The following is a 21158-nucleotide window of genomic DNA, read 5'->3' as shown; positions in this document are numbered from 1 at the left end:
TGATGGGCATTTGGGTTGGTTCCAAGTCTTTGCTATTGTAAGTATTACTGCAATAAACATACGTGTGCATGTGTCTTTAGAGTGGAAAGATTTATCATCCTTTGGGTATATACCCAGTAATGGGATTGCTGGGTCAAATGGTATTTCTGGTTCTAGATCCTTAAGGAATCGCCACACTGTCTTCCACATTGGTTGAACTAATTTACACTCCCACCAACAGTGTAAATGCATTCCTGCTTCTCCACAGCCTCGCCAGCATCTATTATTTCCTGGATAAGTCACTTTAAATTTGGCCCTTAACTTGTTCCTTCTTACAACGAAGTAATTGGACTAAAGATGTAGTGGTTTTCCATGTTTCTTCTGCTATGACCCATGTTGACATTGGAGACACTTCCACTGATACATCCCAGTGTAGACAGCCTTTGTCGTTTAATGTTCTGGTAGAAAATGCAATTTCTAATTTGTAGTCGAAGGTGGCCCTTTCTCATAACTGGGATCAGGACTCTGAATGTGTTCTGATATCCTGGGTGAGAACTTCTGAAATATATAATCCTCACTATTTCTTCTAGTGCTAAAATTCGAGAGTCAAAGAAGCTTCTTATTCTGCCCTGTTTGCCTGTCAACAAATACAATGAACAACATCCTTATTCCCCGATTTTCTGCCTCTGTTACTTACCAGCAGGCCACTCGCCCTCCAAACTGCCTCTTCATAAAATCTGCCATTACTGCTCATCGCTCTGGCCCAGCAGGTGATGAATTCAGTCCATGCCATTAAGCTTCCCTGTGGATGAGTCATCTATTTTTACAAGTTGCTGGTTGCGAGACTAGAGCATAACTTACGGGTTTGTAAATATTTTGGCATCTTCCTTTGTCAAAAGATACTGTGAGACCCAGTGATTCACAAGGTTGTCCTGACACTTTCCCCTCCTCCACCAGCATTTTGAAACATTGTTATCCGGTTTGGTACAAGTTCTTTCAGCTATCACTCCTGCAGGTGTTGGTTTGAAGTTACATAAAGAACAGATTTTCATCTTTCAATAAGTGGCTGGATAGGCTAAACTCAGGCTATAATTTATTACTCTTGGCTGCAATCCATCCATTTGTCTCTGTCCTTGGAGGGAGGTGTTTAATCTCCCTTTGGCTCAGCTTTGGAAGGGACTCACTGATTTGTTGAAAAGTTCATTAGACACCGATGGAGCCCCTGCTGTATGCCAAGAATTGCACTAGGTGCTGGGGATATAAAGATGAATATGACTTGCTCTCAAAGAATGCGTCCGTCTAATGAGGCTGTGGCTGTAACTCAACCATTGCCACACAGCATGGTGAGCAGTAGAAATGAAACAAGCTCACATTATGTGGGTGGTGCAAAAGAAAATGACCCATTTTTCCTAGTGAGATAGGAGGCTTTGTAGAGGAAATTTCACTTGAGCTGTGTCCTACAAGATGGGCAGCAGTTTTCCATGGGGAAAATAAGTGGGGAATAATAATAGGTAGAAAGGCATGGAGGCTTGAAACAGTATGGGGAGTTTAGGGAACTGCAGGCCTGCACCTTGTGGCATAGGTGTGTATGTGCAAGTGTGTAAATGTGTGCGCACACACGCACGTGGGTGCTGTGGGAGAACAGCTGAGGGATGAGGTGGCAGCAGATGAAAATGAGAGGCCGGGTGCAGTGGCTCACGCCTGTAATCCCAGCGCTTTGGGAGGCTGAGACGGGCAGATCATGAGGTCAGGAGTTCGAGACCAGCCTGGCCAACATGGCGAAACCCTATTTCTACAAAAAATACAAAAAAATCAGCTGGGCGTGGTGGTGCATGCCTGTAGTCCCCGCTACTCAGGAGGCTGAGGCAGGAGAATCGCTTGAACCCGGGAGGCAGAGGTTGCAGTGAGCCGAGATTGTGCCACTGCACTCCAGCCTGTGCAACCAAATGAGACTCAGTCTTAAAAAAAAAAAGTATAAAAAAATGAGATAGGCAGAGACCAGTCATGAAAAGACTTGCATGGTGCAATAAAGGGTTTGAATTTATTCACAATAGAGAACTTTTGAAGGATTTTAAGACAGGAATCAGCATTATGGGATTTGCCCTTTAGGAAAATATCCAAGGACCAGGGTTGGGGGCTGGACTCAAGAGGAACCTGGGAAGCATTTGGGAGGTGGGACATAGTGGACAATTTTCCTCAGTAAGGGAGGGGAGAGAGAGCTGGAAGGCTAGAATGGCGTCTAGGTATCAGCCCTGAGGACCTGGTGGATGAGGGTGCCCTTTGCCAAGAAGGAGAACACAGAGAAGGGAAGAGGTGTGGGGAAAAGATCATGACTTTTGTTGGGAATATGTTGAGTGTGAAGTGTCTGTATAGCACCAGGTGCAAAGGTCTAGTTCTCCATCTCTAATAAGAAGCCTCATCGTGGAAATGTGATTAAAATTAAAATCCACGTTGAAATCCTCAGACGAAAGGTGCCATGGAAGTGCAAAGAATCATTATTTAGTGTCTTATGGGCTGTCCTTATTGCCTAGAACACTCTCCTCGTCTTGATTCTAATTGCCTCTGATGCCTGTCTTATCATATTCTAGACATGAAAAAAACAAGTGTCTCGAATGTCAGCTGCGGGACGGGCTTGTGCAAGGAGGGCTCTGAAGCTCTGGGAGAGGCAGCTTGGACTCAGAGAGGTGGGGAAGGTTCTGTTCTCAGTCCTGTGAGTTTGAGCCTTAACCTCTTTCACTCAATCACTAGGTCAGTCTCTGCTCCTTGTTTTGGTTTGTTTTATCAGAACTTAACAACATTCAAGATTTCTTCTTTCCTGATCACCTGCTGCATGGCTGGTATTGGGGATTTAATGCTGAACAGACCGACATGATCCCTGTCCTCACAGAATAAATTGTCTAATAGAGGCAGGAGAATGGCGTGAACCCGGGAGGCAGAGCTTGCAGTGAGCCAAGATCGCGCCACTGCACTCCAGCCTGGGCGACAGAGTGAGACTCCATCTCCAAAAAAAAAAAAATTGTCTAATAGTAGGAAGAATTTTTTAAGGCATCTCATGATGAAGAGGGAGAATCAAGACTGAATCAAACTGTTCCCAAAGAGAACTGTTTTAACTTCAGGAAACAAATGGATGCTCTCTCTTTAAGACAGTGTTTGGAAAACCAGCTCTCCCACTCTGCAAGGCCTCCATGGTAGGGGGAGCAGGCGAAGGAGTTTCTCCTGTTGGGGCTGAGGCAAATATGAATCATCACTTGTATATAATCTTCTGTATCCTGGAGATTCAAAACCAGCGCCTCCATCTTCCCAGTGAAAGTGTTTACATGGCATTATTACCGTGATTATTTATGACTTGCTTTGCTGCCTCAAGGGATAAGGGCGAGTATGAGCTGGGAACTTGTTTCAGTCAAAAGGAAGTGGAATTAAATGATGTTAGAACCTGTACTTAATACCCACATGGAGCTATTCAGCTTAATCTGCCAGAACACCATGGGAGGAGGAGAATGTCTTCCCTCGTCATTGCACTGGGGGAAGCCAGAAGGAAATGCATCTGATGGGAGCAGGGAGCGCAGGTTTGCTGTTTCCCTGACTGCATTTGTGCTCTAAAGGAAGAGCTACTCATTAGAAAGAAGCAAGAACACAGCTATCCCTGTGGGTGTCATGCCCAGAACAATGCTTCCCTTTTTTCTCAGGTCCTAAATTTCCTTCCAAACCTTTGCTTCCTCCCTCTCTTCTGTTCTCACAATAGAGCACCTGCTATTTCACATATCGTGTTGGGTGCTGGAGATATACAGACAGAACCCACAAGCCCTGCCCCTGAAGGACAAACCACAGGTAACGGGAGTGCTGTTGCCCATCTCAGCAATTCAGGTTAAATCCTCCAACCACCATGACCCCAAGACCCTACCTTTTGACGGGCTTAGGGATGTTACAGAGCATTGCAGGGGGTTGCCTGCATGTGTTTCATCAGTAGGAACCAAGCAGTATCTCAAGGCATGAACAGAAATAGATTCTGTTTGTTGGTAGCTGGAAAATTCGTTGGCTGCTGGTGAGTGAACTATCTCCCCTTCCTCCTTCCCAGAGAGAAGCACTACCCAGCTTGGTGCCTGGATGCAGGCAGTGTGAGAGGCCTGCCTAGGGAAAGGGCTCAGCAAGAGGCCCAGGAATGACCCATCTTTCACCTTGTGCCTCCCGCAGGTGTTCAGCTGCATTGGCGCCAGAGCACCAATGGGGCAAGAGAATCCTCTGGAGAAGTTTTCTGTGATCTCATCACAGGAGTAGCCCAGAGGAACAGCCCAGGGCCTGGGGCCTAGGATGGGTGGACCAGGCCATGCAGCTGGTTGGGGGCTTGACCCCCACTCAAAAAGGTGCCATATTTTGACTATTTTCTCTATTACTTCCATATGTCTTCCACTAACATCTTTCCACCATTGTCTTAATCTTCTATCAAACTGTTTTTAAAAATCCACTTTTCTGAACATGTTTTATTCTTTTTTTTTCCAAAACATTTTTTTTCTTATCCACATAAATCTTTTTTTAACTTCCAGCAAAGTCTCCCTTCTCTCCTCCTGTTCCTTCCCAGGAACAAGAAAACATCCAAGCTAAGTGACTAAAAGTTGGATCCATTTTCTTCTCAGACAGGAGAGAGAAGGGGAATGGCTGTAAGCAGTGAAGCTCCTCTTTGAACACTGTAGAAGGTTCCCATCCTGGCACAGGCATGGTGAGCATCAGGAACTAAGGAAGGCACTAGGTGCTGTGGGATCACAGTATAGGATCCGACAGTATAGGGATGTCTAGCTGGAATCAAGAGGGGTGGCGTCCCAGCTGGTTCTTGGAGGATGAGTAGGATTTTGCCAGATATCTGTGCCCTTCCTCCCTCTTCTAGTACCAACCCTTCCAATAGGCTAAAATAACTAGTAAGGGTGAATTTAGAGCAGAAAACAAGGGAGTGAGGAGGGACATGTGGGTAGAGGGGCGTCCCACTCCCTGCTTTAGTGTGAGTGGAAGGATAACTGGGCCAGTCTCGGGCACGTGAACTTCTGGTTTGTTTAAGGTTTTTTTCATCAAGCGACTGCCTTCTTTTCTCTGGCCCATGTCTATGCTCTTTTCACACCCCACAACACAGCCTGCTATGAGAGGTCTCAATGTGGAGGATGGAGGACAATTTCCCACAATTTCCTGTATGCCAGGGGTAACCAAGTGAGAATTAAAAAGCTCGAAGCCTGTGTAGTGGAAGAACTGTCAAAAAAACCTGTGGCACACTGTATAGCTGGAAAGCAGGGAGGGTTTGGGGGAGGGATCAGGTGGGGAAAGCAGATGAGGGCAGAGCCTGCTGGGGAAGCTTACAGGCTTTGCATTTAAGCCACACTGGGAGGGCACTCACCCTCCGCATTAATGTTTGGTTTATGTCGCAGTTGCCCAGCTGGACATGGTCCTGGGCGGAAGTTGCCGAAGCCACGCTGGGAGGGCACTCACCCTCTGCATTAGTGTTTGGTTTATGTCCGAGTTGCCCAGCTGGACATGGTCCTGGGCGGAAGTTGCCGAATTAACTTCTTGACATGCTTGATTGCAATGTCCACGAGTGTGCTTTCATTTTATACTTCACTGACAAAGTTTACTGCCTGAGTGCTGGCTGTTTGTGTGCTGGCTTTCAGACCAGGGAGTTGGTATCTGTGCAGATGCCACCGGTACAGGACTGAGGATCAACACACAGGCCAGACTCCCACCTCAGGTCCCAGTGTTGCTGCTGTGCAGAGCCCCTCCTTTCTCCCAAAGCCATGACCACCACCTCTGCTGCCGCCACCGATGCTGTTGCTGCCACCATTGCCATTGTCTGGGCCTACGTTCTGGCCTGGCCACCTTGGGTCCTTGCGGTGCACCTACACACCTGGCTGGACCAATTGCTCAGCCAGCGGTATAGGTGCACCGCAGGGGCCCATGGTGGCCCAGCTGGAACCTAGGCCCAGAAAATGTCAATGGTGGCAGCAACAGGGTCCCAAGGTAGCCCCAAGGCATGCACCTACACAACTGGCTGGACCAATTGCTCCACGCCTGGGCTGCCTCCCAGGACTGCAGGTCTGAGCTCATTGTGTGCATGCAGCGGCCCAGCATACATGTCCTACTGCCCATCAGACCTCCTTTATAAAACACAGGTTTGAAGATAAAATTATGAAGAGTTTCAGGACAGCTCCAGCAGAGCATGAAACCAAGCGCCAGGCTGTTCTGAGAGTAAAACCCTGTGCAACTGTACGGGTCACACACCTGTGAAGCTGGCCTCAATTATAAGGCAACTGCCCACTGGATGCTAGAGACAAAGCAGGACAGCTGAGAGAAATCCTTCTGAGACCCTGTAAGCCTTCACCCTGCAGCCAACTTCCAAAGGCTAAATAAAGGCACAGCTGCGGGACGGAGGGAGATATACTAAGGAATGGAAAGATGAGGGTGGAACTGGATGGAGGTCAAAGAGAAATTCCCAGTGATACAAAGAGCCAGCATAGAGAAATCTCACACAGCTTACATGGCTGATGGCTGCACAGCAAGGAATGCTAAAGTTCATTCACTGGGCTCAAGGAAACCATGAGGCGGGAGCCCGGCTCTGCAGGGAGAAATGAAGAGCACCTGAAAGGAGTGTCAGCTTGAGTGGTAAGTGAGCCCAAAAGAGTCAGCAGCACCAACTCACTCTCGCTTGGCTTTTCCAGGACAAACCCAAGGTGAGGTGTCCACAGCACCAGTCACTGGGATAGAAAAGCCTTAGGGGGCCAGAGCCCTGCTGGCCACAAAAGACCATGGGAATCTGCACAGCCCCGCTCCCCCCGCCAACCTCAGGAACTGAAGCCAGCACCCAGACAGAACAGCAGAGGAGGAGGGAAGGGGAGTGCTGAAATTTTCATTTCAGATGACAAAGGAGGGCATCTCTGCCTTTTCCAGTCACAGCACACATAGAAACTGGTGGCACGTGTCATGCACACTGCGGAGGTGGGTGAAGACAGTCCATGAGATGGCTCACCTCGCCACCTCAAGGGCCCTGGGAATCCCTGCCTTATCTCACCTGGTACCTCTTTAGGGACTGCTGGCTCTAGAGCATTATGAACTGCAGGACCCACCTGTGGTCATTCATGGCCCAGACTTCTTTTCTGAATTAAACTTTCTGCTCAGTAACCCTAGAGGTTTAACCTTGCCCTGCAAAGATCACAGGAATCCCCCTGCCCTCAGCGCCCCCACCTAGTTTGGGGCAGGCTGTGTGGCGTGTGTGTGTGTGTGTGTGTGTGTGTGTGTGTGTCTGTGTGTGATGGTGGTGGTGATAGTGGTGATGGGGTGTGTGTGGCGGGGAGATAGTTTGTGCGTATTTGGGGGATGTGCGTTGGGGGAGAAGGAAGGGCCTTAAAAAGGATTTCTACTTACTAAATTTTTATTTAGGAAAGATCAGGTAGAAACTGCAATTTCTGCACTTTTCAAGGACTTCCAATCCAAACAGAAAACGCTTGGCCAGAGAAGCAAAATTTTAAAACATGTATTTGCGAAGCAGTATTTTACCTAGGATCTGTTAAAGTGGCTGAATTCCTTGCAAAGTTCTGCTTCTGAAAAAGTAATGTGTGCTCAGGAAACATTCTGAAATTTCAGAAAAGTAGAGAAGAGGAAAAAATAGTTCTAAAGATGATCACTAGTAACATCATTTTAATCTCTTTCCTTCCAATCTTTTCTCTATAAATGGTTATATGGGTATTTTTGTCTGTTTTGCATGAAGGTATTTTTATTTTACTTAAAGGAAGTTTTTACACTATATATGCCACTTTGAATTTCATTCCTTTTTCTAAATTTATACTATCAGGCTTTTCCATGTGTAACATAATACTTAAAAACATAAGTGTTTAAAAAGATGAATTATATCGCAAAATAATATGTGTTTTAGGAAAATTTTTAAATTTTTAAATATAGACAAATCAAAAGAAAATTAAGTTAAAAGCAGCCCAGTCATACTTCCATAACCTTGTTTCTCTGTTCCCCATCATCCTTGCCAGTATAGTAGGTAAAAACCTTAGTCTATGCCAGAAATATTATCTATTATACATGTGTATGCCTGTATGCAAATATAATGTCATATGCACGTATAAATGTGTGTGGGTATCTATAGCTATATTTACATATGCTCCTTAAGTTGATTCCAATCCCACTCTGACTCTGAGCCCAACCCTGTCATCTGCTTGGACTTTCGTGCTCATTATCCTTAGGATTATGAGAGGCCTTGGGGTCTTCTGCAGTAACAAGAATCAGCAGGCTCTTGCCTTCCATCCCATCCTTTCTGGTGACCCCCAACAGGCCTGCAGCCTCTCTGCCGGTTCCCACTCACTGTAGGGCCTCTGCTTTCCCAGGCCTATGTGGTCTGAGCTCCTTGCTCAGGTCCAGACTCTTGATGCCAGAGTCCAGCCTCTGGGCAGGAATAGTGAAGGACAGGCAGAAGGCAGGTGCCAGCCCCCTGCTTGCAGGACCCGCACAGCTGCGTCCCTTTGCACTGGTTGGCAGGGAGACCCTCTCCTGTCCCTTGTACATCCAAAGATGCCTTGTCTCCAGGCTCACCTTTCAGGAACTAAAAGCTTTTATAAATACCCAGATGATCAAAAGGTTTCTGCTTTCAGGCAGGGGACCTCTAAAGACCTGTCTTCCAGCTTGGAAGAGGAGGAGAGGGGAGCACGCAGCAAACAACCCACATGTTGATATGCATGAAGTATCCTGCCACACAGGGAACACCTGCAGCTGGGAGATGTGGTTGCTGGAAGGTGGAGTGTGTCTTGTAAGCACATTGGAACAGAGCAATGATGAGAATGGGCAGAGGGAGCCTTGACTGTACATGAGATTTTGCATATTGACACCAACAGCAAATGGTTAAATATACCCAACTCTTTCCCTATGTGCTTTTCCTCATTGTTAAAGAAAGACCTTTTAAAGAGAGTCCCCTTGTGTCTTCTTTGCTACTGTATTAGTCAAGGCTCTCCAGAGAAACAGAAGCAATAGGAGATTTATGTGTAAGCACAGATTTACTTTCAGATGTTGGCTCACACATTTGTGGGGGCTGTTAAGTCCAATATTCACAGGGCAAGCCAACAGGCTGGAAATGAAGGGAAGAATTAATGCTGCAGTCTTAAGTCTGAATTCTGAGGGGCGGGCCAGGCAGGCTGGAAACCCAGGAAGAGTTTCTACGCTGCAGTCTTTTAGTTCAAATACCTTCTTTGGGAAACCTCAGTCTTTGCTTTAATAGGAACTCCAGCTGATTGGATGAGGCTCACCCACATAATGTAGGGTAATCTGCTTTACTCAAAATCTACTGATCCAAATGTTTATCTCATCTAAAAAATACTTTCTCAGCAACATCTAGACTGACATCTGCCCAAACAGCTGGACACCATAGCCAAGTTGACACATAAAATTAACTATTGCAACTTCTTTACAAACTTCAAGAGAAACAGAGAAGAATGAAAGCTGAGCTGCATACCTGGCATAAAGTGCCAAAGCTCAGTCTGTGAAGCAGCATGTTTCTCACGGGGCCCAGAGGGTGTCTGTGCTTATAGAGATTCTTTTCAATTGAACAGATTTCACTTGACTTCAAAAGTGCTTGAGTCAAATGCTTCAAGATGGTTGACCAGAGGCATCTGGTACTCACCTCCTCCACCAAGAAAAACCAAAATAGTAAGTTGATAATCACACTTTGGATAGATCATCTGAGAGAGAATGCTGGAATTCCATAGAGAAGTGACAGGAAACACCTAAGGCAAGGAAGGAGAGGGAGGCAAGGCAGCCTACTTGGCTGGGAGCCCAGAGAGGCCTCCTAGTGCACAGAAAGGGTAAGTGGGTGACCCTCAGCAGTCCACATTCCCACCATGGACATCTGCAATTCCAGCCATGGGAGAGATTCTTGACTCTCATGAGCCCTGAGACTAAAACAGGGAGCTGTCTTGAGATGGCATGACAGCATTGCTCCAGAGAGGGGGCTTACATCACCCCCAGACCTAAGCAGCTACAGCACAGTGCCATTTTGAGAGCCCAGCCCCCACCAGACCACATCCTGTTCTGGGTCCCAACCACCCCTGCATCTCCGCATCCCTGGAGTCCCAGTGACATCCCCCATCCGCAGCTGCTGCTGCTGCTGTTTGCTGCCACCAGAACTAAAGCATGAGCCACTGGGAGTGACTCCACCATCCCCAGCAAAGGGGCCACTGTGCACTTACAAGCACCCTAAGGTCAGGCTCTGCCACCCACAGCCGCCACCTGGAACCGAAGTGCACACTTCCCAGCCATCTGCCTACGACTGCTACTATTGAAAGCAACCCCACTCTCCCCAGCAGCAGAGCTGCAGTGTGGCTGCTGCTGCCCCTGTACCTGAGCATTTTTCCAGGGCCCAGGGATCAGCCCACCCCTACTCACCACAGCCAGCATACGCATGCACCACCAGGGATCCTGAGGACAGGTCCACCCAGCCCAACTCTCACCTCCCAGGGCCCAAGTGTGCTGTGTGGGGGCATATGAATTGCTCTGCTCCATCCACCATCATTGGCACCTGAAACTCCTCCTAAGGGCCTGAGGATGGGCTCACCCAACCTGCCACTACCCCCACAGCTGTCACACCCACACACACATGTCACCTGGGGACTAGCCCACCCAGGCCATTGCAGCCACCACCAACACCAGCATGGATAGGATGGAAGCTAGAGGATGATCTGGCTGCTGCTGCCGTCATTGCCCCTGCCATGCCTGCTGCCTAGGAACCTGAGCCCCTCCCCAACTGGACTACCACTGCCCCTTCCAGCACCTGAGCAAGCCTCCTGGAGGCCCAAGAATCAGCCTGCCTGGAATCACTAACCCCAGGACCAGCATAAACTGCTCTGGGGCCCAAGAACAGGCATGCTCTTGGCCCACTGCTGCCACCACTAGAGCCTGAGGACTGGCCCACCTGTTGCCCCTGTCCCCAGCAAAACTTCCCCACAGCCTCCATTAACAGCCACACTCTAAGCCACTAAGGAAATCACAGACACCACTGACACTGTTTACAACTGAAGAACTCATACAGAGACTACACTACTGCATGCATCTAGAATCAAGGCCAGAGTGCCCTACCCAATCAACACCATAGCTATATCTTCAGAAAAAATGTCCTTCCCTGTGAAAGTAAATCCAAAAAATCAGAAGAAGCAACTGTTACACCAGATGCACAGATAATCAACATAAGGACACAAGAAACATTAAAAGCAAGGAAATATGACACCTCCAGAGGAACACAATAATTCTTCAACAACAGATGCCAATGGAAAAAAAATGAAATGCCAGAGAAAAAATTCAAAATAGTGATATTAAAGAAACTCAGTGAGATGCAAAAGAATACAGATTAAACAATACAAAGAAATCAGAGAAACAATTCAGGATATGAATAAGAATTTCCCTAAAAAGAAATAGATATAATTAAAAAGAACTAAACAGAAATCTTGGAACCTAATAATTCATTGAATGAAATAAAAAATACATTCAAGAGCTTGAACAAGGAACTAGATCAAGCAGAAGAAAGAATCTCAGAATTTGAAGTCAGGTTTTTGAAATAACCCAGTCAGACAAAAATAAAGAAAAAAATAAAAGAGAATGAACAAAGCCTCCAAGATATATGGGACACCATAAAGCAACCAAATATTTTAAGTTTTGATATTCCAGAAGGCAAAGAGAAAACTGAAGGGATAGAAAACCTATTTAATGAAACAATAGGTTAAAACTTCCCAAGTCTAGCAAAAGATCTAGACACACAGAGGCAGGAAGCTCAGAGATTTCCAAAGAGATTTAATTCAAAAAGATCTTCTTCATTATAGTCAAACTGTCAAAAGTCAAAGACAGAATTCTAAAACCCACAAGAGAAAAATGTCACTTATAAGAAAACTTCATCAGACTAACAGCGGATTTCTCCTCAGAAACCTTACAGACCAAGAGAGAATGGGCCGATACATTTAAAGTGCTGAAAGAAAAAAACTGCCAGCCAAGGATACTATACCCAGTAAAGTTATCCTTCATAAATGAAGGAAAAATAAAGTCCTCCCCAGACAAGCAAAAGCTGAGAAAATTCATCATCATTAGACTGGGTCTATAAGAAATGCTTAAGGTCGTCCTATACCTGGAAATGAAAAGATAATATCTACCATCATGAAAAGACATAAAAGTATAAATAAAACCCATTGGGTAGAATGAACACAGAACTAAGGAAAAGAAGGACCCTAATGTTACCACGAGAGAAAACCATCAAATCACAATGATAAATAATAAGGCAGAAATAAAGGAACAAAGGATATACAAACAACCAGGAAATGATCAATTAATTAACAGGTATAAGTCCTCACATATCAACAGTAACCTTGAATGTAAACAGCCTAAGGTTTCCACTTAAAAGATATAGACTGGCTGAATGGGTTTTTTAAAATGACCCAATTATATGCTTTCTAAAAGAAACTGACCTCACCTATAAAGACACATATAGACGGAAAGTAAAAAGATGGAAAAAGTTACTCTATGCAAATGAAAGCCAAAAGCAAGCAGGAGTAACTATACTTATATCAGATAAAACAGACTTTAAGTCAAAAACAATAAAAAGTGACCCAAAAGGTTCATTATATAATGATAAATAGATCAATTCAGCAAAAGGATATAACATATCTAAATATATATGCATCCATAATTGGAGCACCCAGATATATAAAGCAAATATTATTAGATCTAACGGGAGAGATGGACTCTAATACAATAATAGTTAGGGACTTCAATACCCCATTCTCAGCATTAGACAGATCATCTAGACAGAAAATTCACAAAGAAACATTGAATTTAGAATATCTTAGGCAAAATTGACCTAACAGACATTTACAGAACATTTCATTCAACAGCTACAGAATACACATTCCTCTCATCAGCACATGGAATCAAAATTATATCAAATATCTTTTTGGATCACAATGGAATAAAACTAGAAATCAATAAAAAGAGAAGCTTTGGAAACTGCAAATACAGGAAATTAAACAGCATTCTTCTGAATGACCATTGGGTCAAAGAAGAAATTAAGGAGGAAGTTGAAAAATTTTTTGAAACAAATGAGAGTCAAAATACAACATACCAAGACAGGCATGGTAGCTTGGCTCATGTGCATGATTCTAGCTACTCAAGAGGCTGAGGTGGGGAGGGTTGCATGAAGCCAGGAGTTTGAGACCAGTCTGAGCAACATAGCAAGGTCCTGTCTCTTAAAAATAAAAGTTTCTAAATTGGCCAGGTGTGGTGGGTGCCTGTGTGGTCCCAGCTATTTGGGAGGCTGAGATTGGAGGATCACTTGAGCCCAGGAGTTGGAGGCTGCAGTGAGCTATGATCACAAAACTGCACTCTAACTTGGATGATAAAGTGAGATCCTCTCTCTAAAAACAAAATATTAATAATAAAAAAACCACACAACATACCAAAACCTATGGATTACAGAAAAAGCAGTGCTATGAGGGAATTTTATAACAATAAACACCTACATCAAAAAAGTAAAAAGATTTCAAATAAACAATCTAATAGTGCCCCGCAATGAATTAGAAAAGCAAGAACAAATCATACCCACAATTAGTAGAAGGAAAGAAATAATAAAGTTCAGAGCAGAACTAAACAAAATAGACTTTAAAAATATAAAGGATCAATGAAACAAAAAGTTATACTAGCTAGACTAACAAAAAAAAAAGACCCAAATAAACAAAATCAGAAACAAAAAAAGAAAAAATTACAACTGATAACACAGAAATACAAAAGATCATCAGCGACTATTATAACTGTATGCTAATAAACTAGAAAACCTAGAAGAAGTGAATAAATTCCTAGATACATACAACCCACCAAGATTGAATCAGGAAAAAATAGAGAACCCGAATAGATCAATAATGAGAAATGAGATTGAATCAGTAATAAAAGGTCTCCTAACAAAGAAAAGTCCATGACCAGATGGTTCACTGCCAAATTCTAGCAAACTTACAAAGAACAAATAAAACCAATTCTCAAACATCTCAAAAAGTTAAAGAGGAGGGAATTCTCCTTAACTCATTCTAAAAGGCCAGCATTACTGATACCAAAACCAGACAAGAATGCAACCAAAAACAAAAACTACAGGCCAATATCCTTGATGAACATAGATACAAAAATCCTCCAAAAAAATACTAGCAAACCAAATCCAACAGCACATCAAAAAGATAATACACCATGATCAAGTGACCATACTACCCAAAGCAATCTACAGATTTAATGCAATCCCTATTAAAATACCAAGGGATGCAAAGATGGTTTATCTCAGGGATGCAAAGATGGTTTAACATATGTAAATCAATAAATGTAATACATCATATCAACAGAATAAAGGACAAAAACCATATGATCATTTCAACAGTTGCAGAAAAAGCATTTGATAAAATTCAACATCCCTTCATGATCAAAACTCCCAACAAACTAGGCATTGAAGGAACATACCTCAAAATAATAAAGGGTATATGTGACAAACTCATAGCTAACATCATACTGAGTGGGGAAAATCTGAAAGCCTTTCCTCTAAGAACCGGAACAAGACAAAAATGCCCACTTTCACCACTCTTGTTCAACATAGTACTGGAAGTTCTAGGCAAAGCAATCAGGCAAGAGAAAGAAATAAAAGGTGTCCGAACTGGAAAAGAGGAAGTCAAATTTTTCCTCTTTGCGGAAGACATGATTTTATATCTAGAAAAACCTAAAGGCTCTGCCCAAAAAAGGAAAAAAAAAAACAAACAAAAAACCCTTAGATCTGATAAATAAATTCAGAGAAGGTGCAGGATACAAAATCAACATACAAAAATCAGTAGCATTTCTATATACCAATAATGAACAATCTGAGAAAGAAATCAAGAAAGCAATCCCATTTGCAATCGTCACACACACACACACAAATACCTAAGAATAAATTCAACAAAGGAGGTGAAAGACCTCTGTAAGGAAAACTACAAAACACTGAAGAAAAAAATTGAAGAAGAAACTAACAAATGGAAAACATCCCATGTTCATGGATTGAAAGAATTAATATTGTTAAAATTACCATACTACCCAAAGCAATCTGCAGATTTAATTCAATCCCCATCAAAATACCAATGTCATTTTTTATAGAAATAGAAAAAAAAATCCTAAAATTTGCATGGAACCAAAGACAGTTTAAATAGCCAAAGCAAAATCCTGAGCAAAAAGAACAAAGCTGGAAACATCACACTCTCAACTTTTAAAATATATTGTAAGGCTAAAGTAACCAAAAAAGCATCGTATTGGTAGGAATGAAAGGGGAATGGAGAGACGTTGGTTAATGGGTACAAACATACAGTTAGATCGAAGGAATAAGATCTAACAATCAATGGCAGAGTAGGGTGACTATAGTTAACAACAATGTTTTGTCTATTCCAAAATAGCTAGAAAAGAGGAATTGAAATATTCCCAATATATAGAAATTATAAATACTTGAGGTGATGGATACCCTAAATACCCCAAATTGATCCTTATCCATTCTACGTATCAAAATATCATGTGCCTATAAAATATGTACAAATATTATGTATCAATAATAAAATGTTCAAGTCTTCTTACAACAGCATGTTTACAAACATGAACTTTTAAGTCAGACAGACAGAGGTGAATCCCGGCTTTACCATTTGCCAATTGGGTGACCCAGAGCAACTTAGGTGGCTTCTCTGAGCCCCAGTGTACTCATCTCAAAATGAGGATAATAACGACTTTCCCATAGGGTGATATGTTTAGTGTGTTTAGCACAGTGCCTCACACAGGGTCAAACACTCAAGAAATTGTAGCTTTTTGTATAGTTACCAAGAGCTGTAAAGGACCGCCTTTATTTGTCATAGAAACCATTAATATCCCATCCCACTAGCCTTTGTGTACTAAGTTCATGGTTTATGTTGACTTGGCTTGACTTCTGTCTTTTCTCCCTCAAGTCTCCATGGGGATTGAAAGCTCTCCCTAGTTGGGCCCTGGAAACTGTAGCTGGCTCCATCCCATGCTCTTTACCTTACCTTCCTTCCCAGGCAATGCTCAGCTCAATAGAAAGCTCAAGTCCTATACAGTTGTCAGTTCAGTTGAACCAGAGGTTCAATTACGCTGTGTAGCTGCTCCAGGGTAGCCTCTGCCTCAGAAGAAGACAAGATAAGTGATTGATCTGCCACTGATGCTCTGCCCCCAGGAGCTTTTCTTTCTCCATTCCTGGCTCCTGGAGGTAAGGACAATTTCTGGGAAAGTGGTTGCTGTAAGAGGTCATTGTTACATTTGGGGATATGTTCCTTTTATCGAGAAAGCAAATCTCTCCAATGCTCAGCTTCAAGGTGTAGGTGATGTTAGGGTGCCCTATTTTTGGGATTCTCCCATTTGTCTGGCAACCAGAAAATGTAAGAAAATGCAGTACAATCTTGCTATTAAACACCTTGCTATTCCAGAGATTCAATTTTACTGTGTAACTATTTCTCTGTCTAAGACCTGTAAATTCTACATCACAGATGCTGTTTTGGGCATGGTTGCATTCAGGAAGCTCCTGAGCCTCGGAGCCATTATAGCATCTCACAGGCCATGGGACACTGGCGTATAGCCACAATAGGAGAAATGTGTCCACCAGGACATCCTTATCAAAGAGCACAAGAAAATGAAAAGGGAACAGGCAGTCTTACCACTGCTCTCCATCAGGCGTTCTCCTTCTCTTTTTTTTCCTAATTATGTTTAGTCATCTTTCCTGGAAACTGTAAATCTCGCTCAGTGAAATTATTCATATTTATAGCCCCTGCATGTAAGTGGCATTGAACTCTATTAAAAATGATAAAAGGTAGATGCCTTTGAACGCTGGGATCAGCCAGCCAATTGTTTTAAGATTCACCTCAACTGACTTTAAGACGCACATGGGTATCATTTGGCAATAAAGCAAGTTTTATTAAATTTAGGCAACTTTCTTCGAGAGACAGACATAAAATCCTGGCAAAGATAAGAGCTAAAATTAACCAGACACGTGGAATGCTGAACAGCTGAATTAAAACAGAAACTCGACATCATGCAGACAATAACATTCCATCTATGAGTGCCCTCTCCCCACCTTGAGGATGGGAACTTCCTTGTCATCTCAGACCCTTATAAAAGGCCTCTGTGAAAATGGATGAAGTGTTTGGGTAGCCAAAAACCCTCTTTCTAATGCCATACTTAAAGTTCTCCTAAACTTTTAAATCCAACATCCCCTAAACAAATACGTCCATTTATTCACAATAAATCAATTTTTTTTTTCAGAAGAAGATTCAATTAAAAAAAAATTCCTATGTCCCTGCTCTTCAATGTTTTAGCCATTGCACAGTAATGGCTTGCCTAATTCTCTTTTAAAACCAAATTCATGTCCCCAACCATGGAAGGTATTGAGCCCATTAAATTTGGGGTGCTTCTGCAAATGAAGTTTTGTATATGTTTACTTCTTGGTGCAAAAGAAATTACATGCACATTACAGTAACATCAGAAAATATAGACAAGCAAATGAACCATATCAAACAGCTACAATTCCAATCACCCAGAAATGATATATGCATATAAACATACCTGCACATTATATGTGTGCTCCATATGCCACACAAATGTATGAGTAAATCATTTGTCTTCATGAGCATGCAAACATATATATGCACATCATACGTGTCCTATATAAAAATATATACATTGTCTTCCGCATGCGTACACACATATATGTATGCAGATATATCTCTTATGATACAAGTGTATGCATACATTATGTGTGTTTTTCATATACACACAAACACATATGCATACCACATGTGCCTTTCATAGTCACACAAACACATGCACATAATATGTGCCTTTCATATGCCTGCAAACACATATGAACCTCGTCTTTTATGCACATATATACATATATGCATGACATATGTGCCTTTATCTATATCTGTGATTTTCCAAAATTAAGATAATGTATACATTGTGTACATCCTCTATTGTCACCTGATTTTTCACTTTGTCTGTTTTTTGTTTCTCACTCTCACAGGATATACATCTTTCCACACCAATAGACCTTGTTTTCCGATGTAGCATTATTTTTCATAGTTGGCGAATATACAGTTATGGATTCATAACAGCAAGGTATCTAATTATCCTCTACGGTTAGATATTTAAGTAGTTTATGCCAATGTTTCCAACAGATCATCTTGTATTTGTCATAGTGTCAAGCACAGTTCGAGGGTCAGACTTACCTTCTCACTCTACCAGACCTTCATAGCTTATCGATTTGTCAAATTTCTGTGGCATGTTTCAGCCTTGGAGGACAGTCACTTAAGTACAGTTATAGTTCCTCTTTCTATCCTGGCTTGTGGCCGGGCTGTGCCTGAAGGACAGGGCTTCATGTTCGACGGATTTCTGGATTTTTGAACTGTAATTCAGTCCCATTCGGTTCAATAACCGAATTTATTTATTGGGCTTTGCCCCACATGCACATAGCAGATTCTCTGTAAACATGTGTTAAATGAAAACATATTTTTACAAATGGAATCCCACAGCACCTGGCAAGCCACTTCATTCTTAGTTGTGTCAAAGGCAGTACAATGAGGGTAAGCTGTGAGGTCAGACAGGCGTGGGGTCCAGCCGTGGTTCTGCGTCTTACAAAATCTGTGACCGTGATATGTAACTTCTCAAGCCTCCATTTCCTTATCTGCAAAATATAGTTAATTAGGACACCTTCCCCATGGGGTTGTGAAGATGATACAGACGATGTAAGTAAAATACTTCGCACAGTGTCCAGTATGCAAGCAATGTGAGCTGTCATTATTATTATTATTGGCTATTGCTTCCTAAGATAAATGAAGCATTTGAATTAAGTGCTAAGCTCTTAGTGAATACTAAGTCGGATTTAATTAAGTAGTTTTTCAGTTAGTATAAGGGGGAAAAAAAGAGGAGAAGAAAAATGTCTTACTGCTGAATCTTCCTGAACCTCCACAGGGCCTATCCACCCAAATTTGTTGACCGGGCCATTTGGTGAGTGAGCGAGTCTGTTGGAGGTTTTCTCTAGGTTTGGTGCGTGTGATGATAGCACAGTCCTCAGTGACTGCATGGTGTGTTTTATCTGAGGGCCTCAGGGTCTGAATTGTGATACTTATGTGCATGGCTTTTGTTTCCAGATGGAGAAATTGCACTGCAGAGAAATCTTTAAAAGCAATTACCTAATACTGCAGATTGCTGAACTGTACCCACACCCAAGACTGAGCATTGGATCAATCCAGAATATACATCAGGTGTTCTGCAATGTCTGCCTAAAACCATGACTCTGCCTCCTCCAGCTGTTGCTACATCTCACTATGGGTTTCCTGTGACATTTTGAGCAAGTATGCCTCTGTGACTGGGGTTCTTACACTCCAGAATGGATGAGAAGCACCGTAAGTGGCTTTTAAAATGAATATTCCCTGGCCCTTCAGTCGCTCTATAGGTCAAGAATCTGAATTCTCAACCTGTCTAGAAGGTTCTGGTTTTAATGGTCTGTGGGCTGCACATTGAGAAACCTGTTCAGCGAGTGCAACAAAGGTTCCACATGTGAGAAAGGAAGCATCAGGTCTCTTGAGCCTGTTCTTTAATCTGTAGGCTGCACCTTCTCTTTAAATTCTGCTAATAACACCATGCGAGAAAACACCCGAGCTTGAAAAGCCCATGTTCCAACATAACTGTCCTTCACCACTCTGGAAAATTAATGGTTTGTTTCGATTATCCCTTTGTTAAACTCCAAAGTCAAAGAGCTCTGAAAGGCATACGGTTATTTTAAGTTTCAGGTGATTTCTGTTGCCAAATATTTTAAAAATTTAAAATTGCTACGTGACCTCTTAGTAGTACTATTAGATTTCCTGACAATAAAAATAAGTCTTTTGGTTTCACCATTTATAGTTAGTACAGCTAATATTAAGTATAATTTTAAAAGCCTTTTATTTTCTCAGAAAGAAAAAATAATCAAAATCTGCTCAGTGTGGTATTGAATAATTAAAAACAAAAGAACAGTATCTTCACATTAGTGTTTAATATTAATTGCTTTTTTACCCTTGACACTGGTGCTAATTAAATTTTCATTTTATTTTCCATGACTTGTTTAAACAGTTTTTGCAAATTATTGCTAATCAGCCTAATAAAACTGAATCACCTATTAAACAATTTTGTTTTGAATTAAATGGCATTAAAATAATTCTGGCTGCCTTGTGTTATAATGTGTTACAAGAATACCAACCGCTACAGGTAATATGCCTTAGCTTTTACACATGCTTTAAATAAATCTACGGATGTATTTACCTACATGCACAAACATGCAAAGAGGCAGTGTTGGTTAGTTGAATGGGTTTCCGGCTGGATTTATTTCCCGTCTACTGTCTTCTCAAGAGGAAATCTAAGGCAAATCTCTTCAACAACCTGAAACTTGGTTTTCATCATCAGCAAAATAAGGAGTATGTATTTTTGAGGGAAAGGGTTATCGGTGGAAATAGAGGTTTCCCTAAGCACCGCTTTGCAGCCCCTTCCAGCAAGATACGATTAATGGGGTGCGGGGGGGAGAGCCCGTTGCCCCCACTCCCCCGGAGACTTTCCTGCAGTTTCGAAGGTGTAGGACACAAATGGTGGGTCTAAAATATTAGCAGCAGCCACCAGTGAGGAGCCACATGGCTCACAAAGAATGAAGAGAAATAATAGGGCCAAGTGGACCAGTTGGTAAAACCCCGGGGCCCCCACTGCGTTAGTGGGCTCTGGAAGAGGTGCCTTACTGGTACCCAACAGAGCCCTGGGAGGGTCTGTTGCACATGGCGGGGCAGCTTTGGGGGCAGTGGTACACAGCAAAATTGCAGGAGCAAGTGTGAGATTGACCCTCAGAAACTGCGATTACCTATGTGTGGGGGTGAGGGAATGTGAAGGAATAGTCTACACATGCTGGTCAGATGACTACCAACTCCTTTGCACTTACAACGACTCTGTAGTTCACAGAATAGGTAGGTTACTCATATTGTTATGTCTTAGATGACAAAAGAGAATTACGAAACATGAAGTGACTTAATCCAAGATGATGAATGGGGAGGTCAAATATTTTGTGATGAAATCATAATCACAACTCATGGCAGGAAGCAGAG

At 42.7% G+C, this 21158-nt stretch overlaps 1 long non-coding RNA gene across 10 annotated transcripts in view, besides 1 other annotated feature; it reads left to right on the top strand.

Annotated features, from left to right (window-relative positions):
- Positions 1-20230, top strand: part of LOC100507336 (uncharacterized) — a 126588-nt gene extending 106358 nt beyond the window's left edge. For 3 of the 10 annotated variants that reach the window (NR_187647.1, NR_187649.1, NR_187646.1), the window contains 2 exons: positions 18059-18153; positions 19185-20230. This is a non-coding gene — a long non-coding RNA (uncharacterized LOC100507336). Of the gene's footprint in view, positions 1-4170; positions 4341-4610; positions 4694-18058; positions 18154-19184 lie in introns of all 10 variants that reach the window. The other 7 variants (NR_187644.1, NR_187648.1, NR_187650.1 and 4 more) reach the window with 4 other exon arrangements.
- Positions 9994-10493: an enhancer, noted in NCBI's record as "H3K4me1 hESC enhancer chr6:3603461-3603960 (GRCh37/hg19 assembly coordinates)". NCBI's record gives its function as "activates a minimal SCP1, AML or CMV promoter by ChIP-STARR-seq in naive H9 embryonic stem cells {active_cell/tissue: H9 hESC(naive)}" and the evidence as "EXISTENCE:reporter gene assay evidence [ECO:0000049][PMID:30033119]".
- Positions 20231-21158: the final 928 nt, after the last annotated feature.

This window comes from Homo sapiens, chromosome 6, assembly GCF_000001405.40.
Source record: "Homo sapiens chromosome 6, GRCh38.p14 Primary Assembly".
NCBI classification, from domain to species: domain Eukaryota; kingdom Metazoa; phylum Chordata; class Mammalia; order Primates; family Hominidae; genus Homo; species Homo sapiens.
Note: the sequence above shows the minus strand (reverse complement) of the source record. Positions and strands in the feature narration are given on the sequence as shown.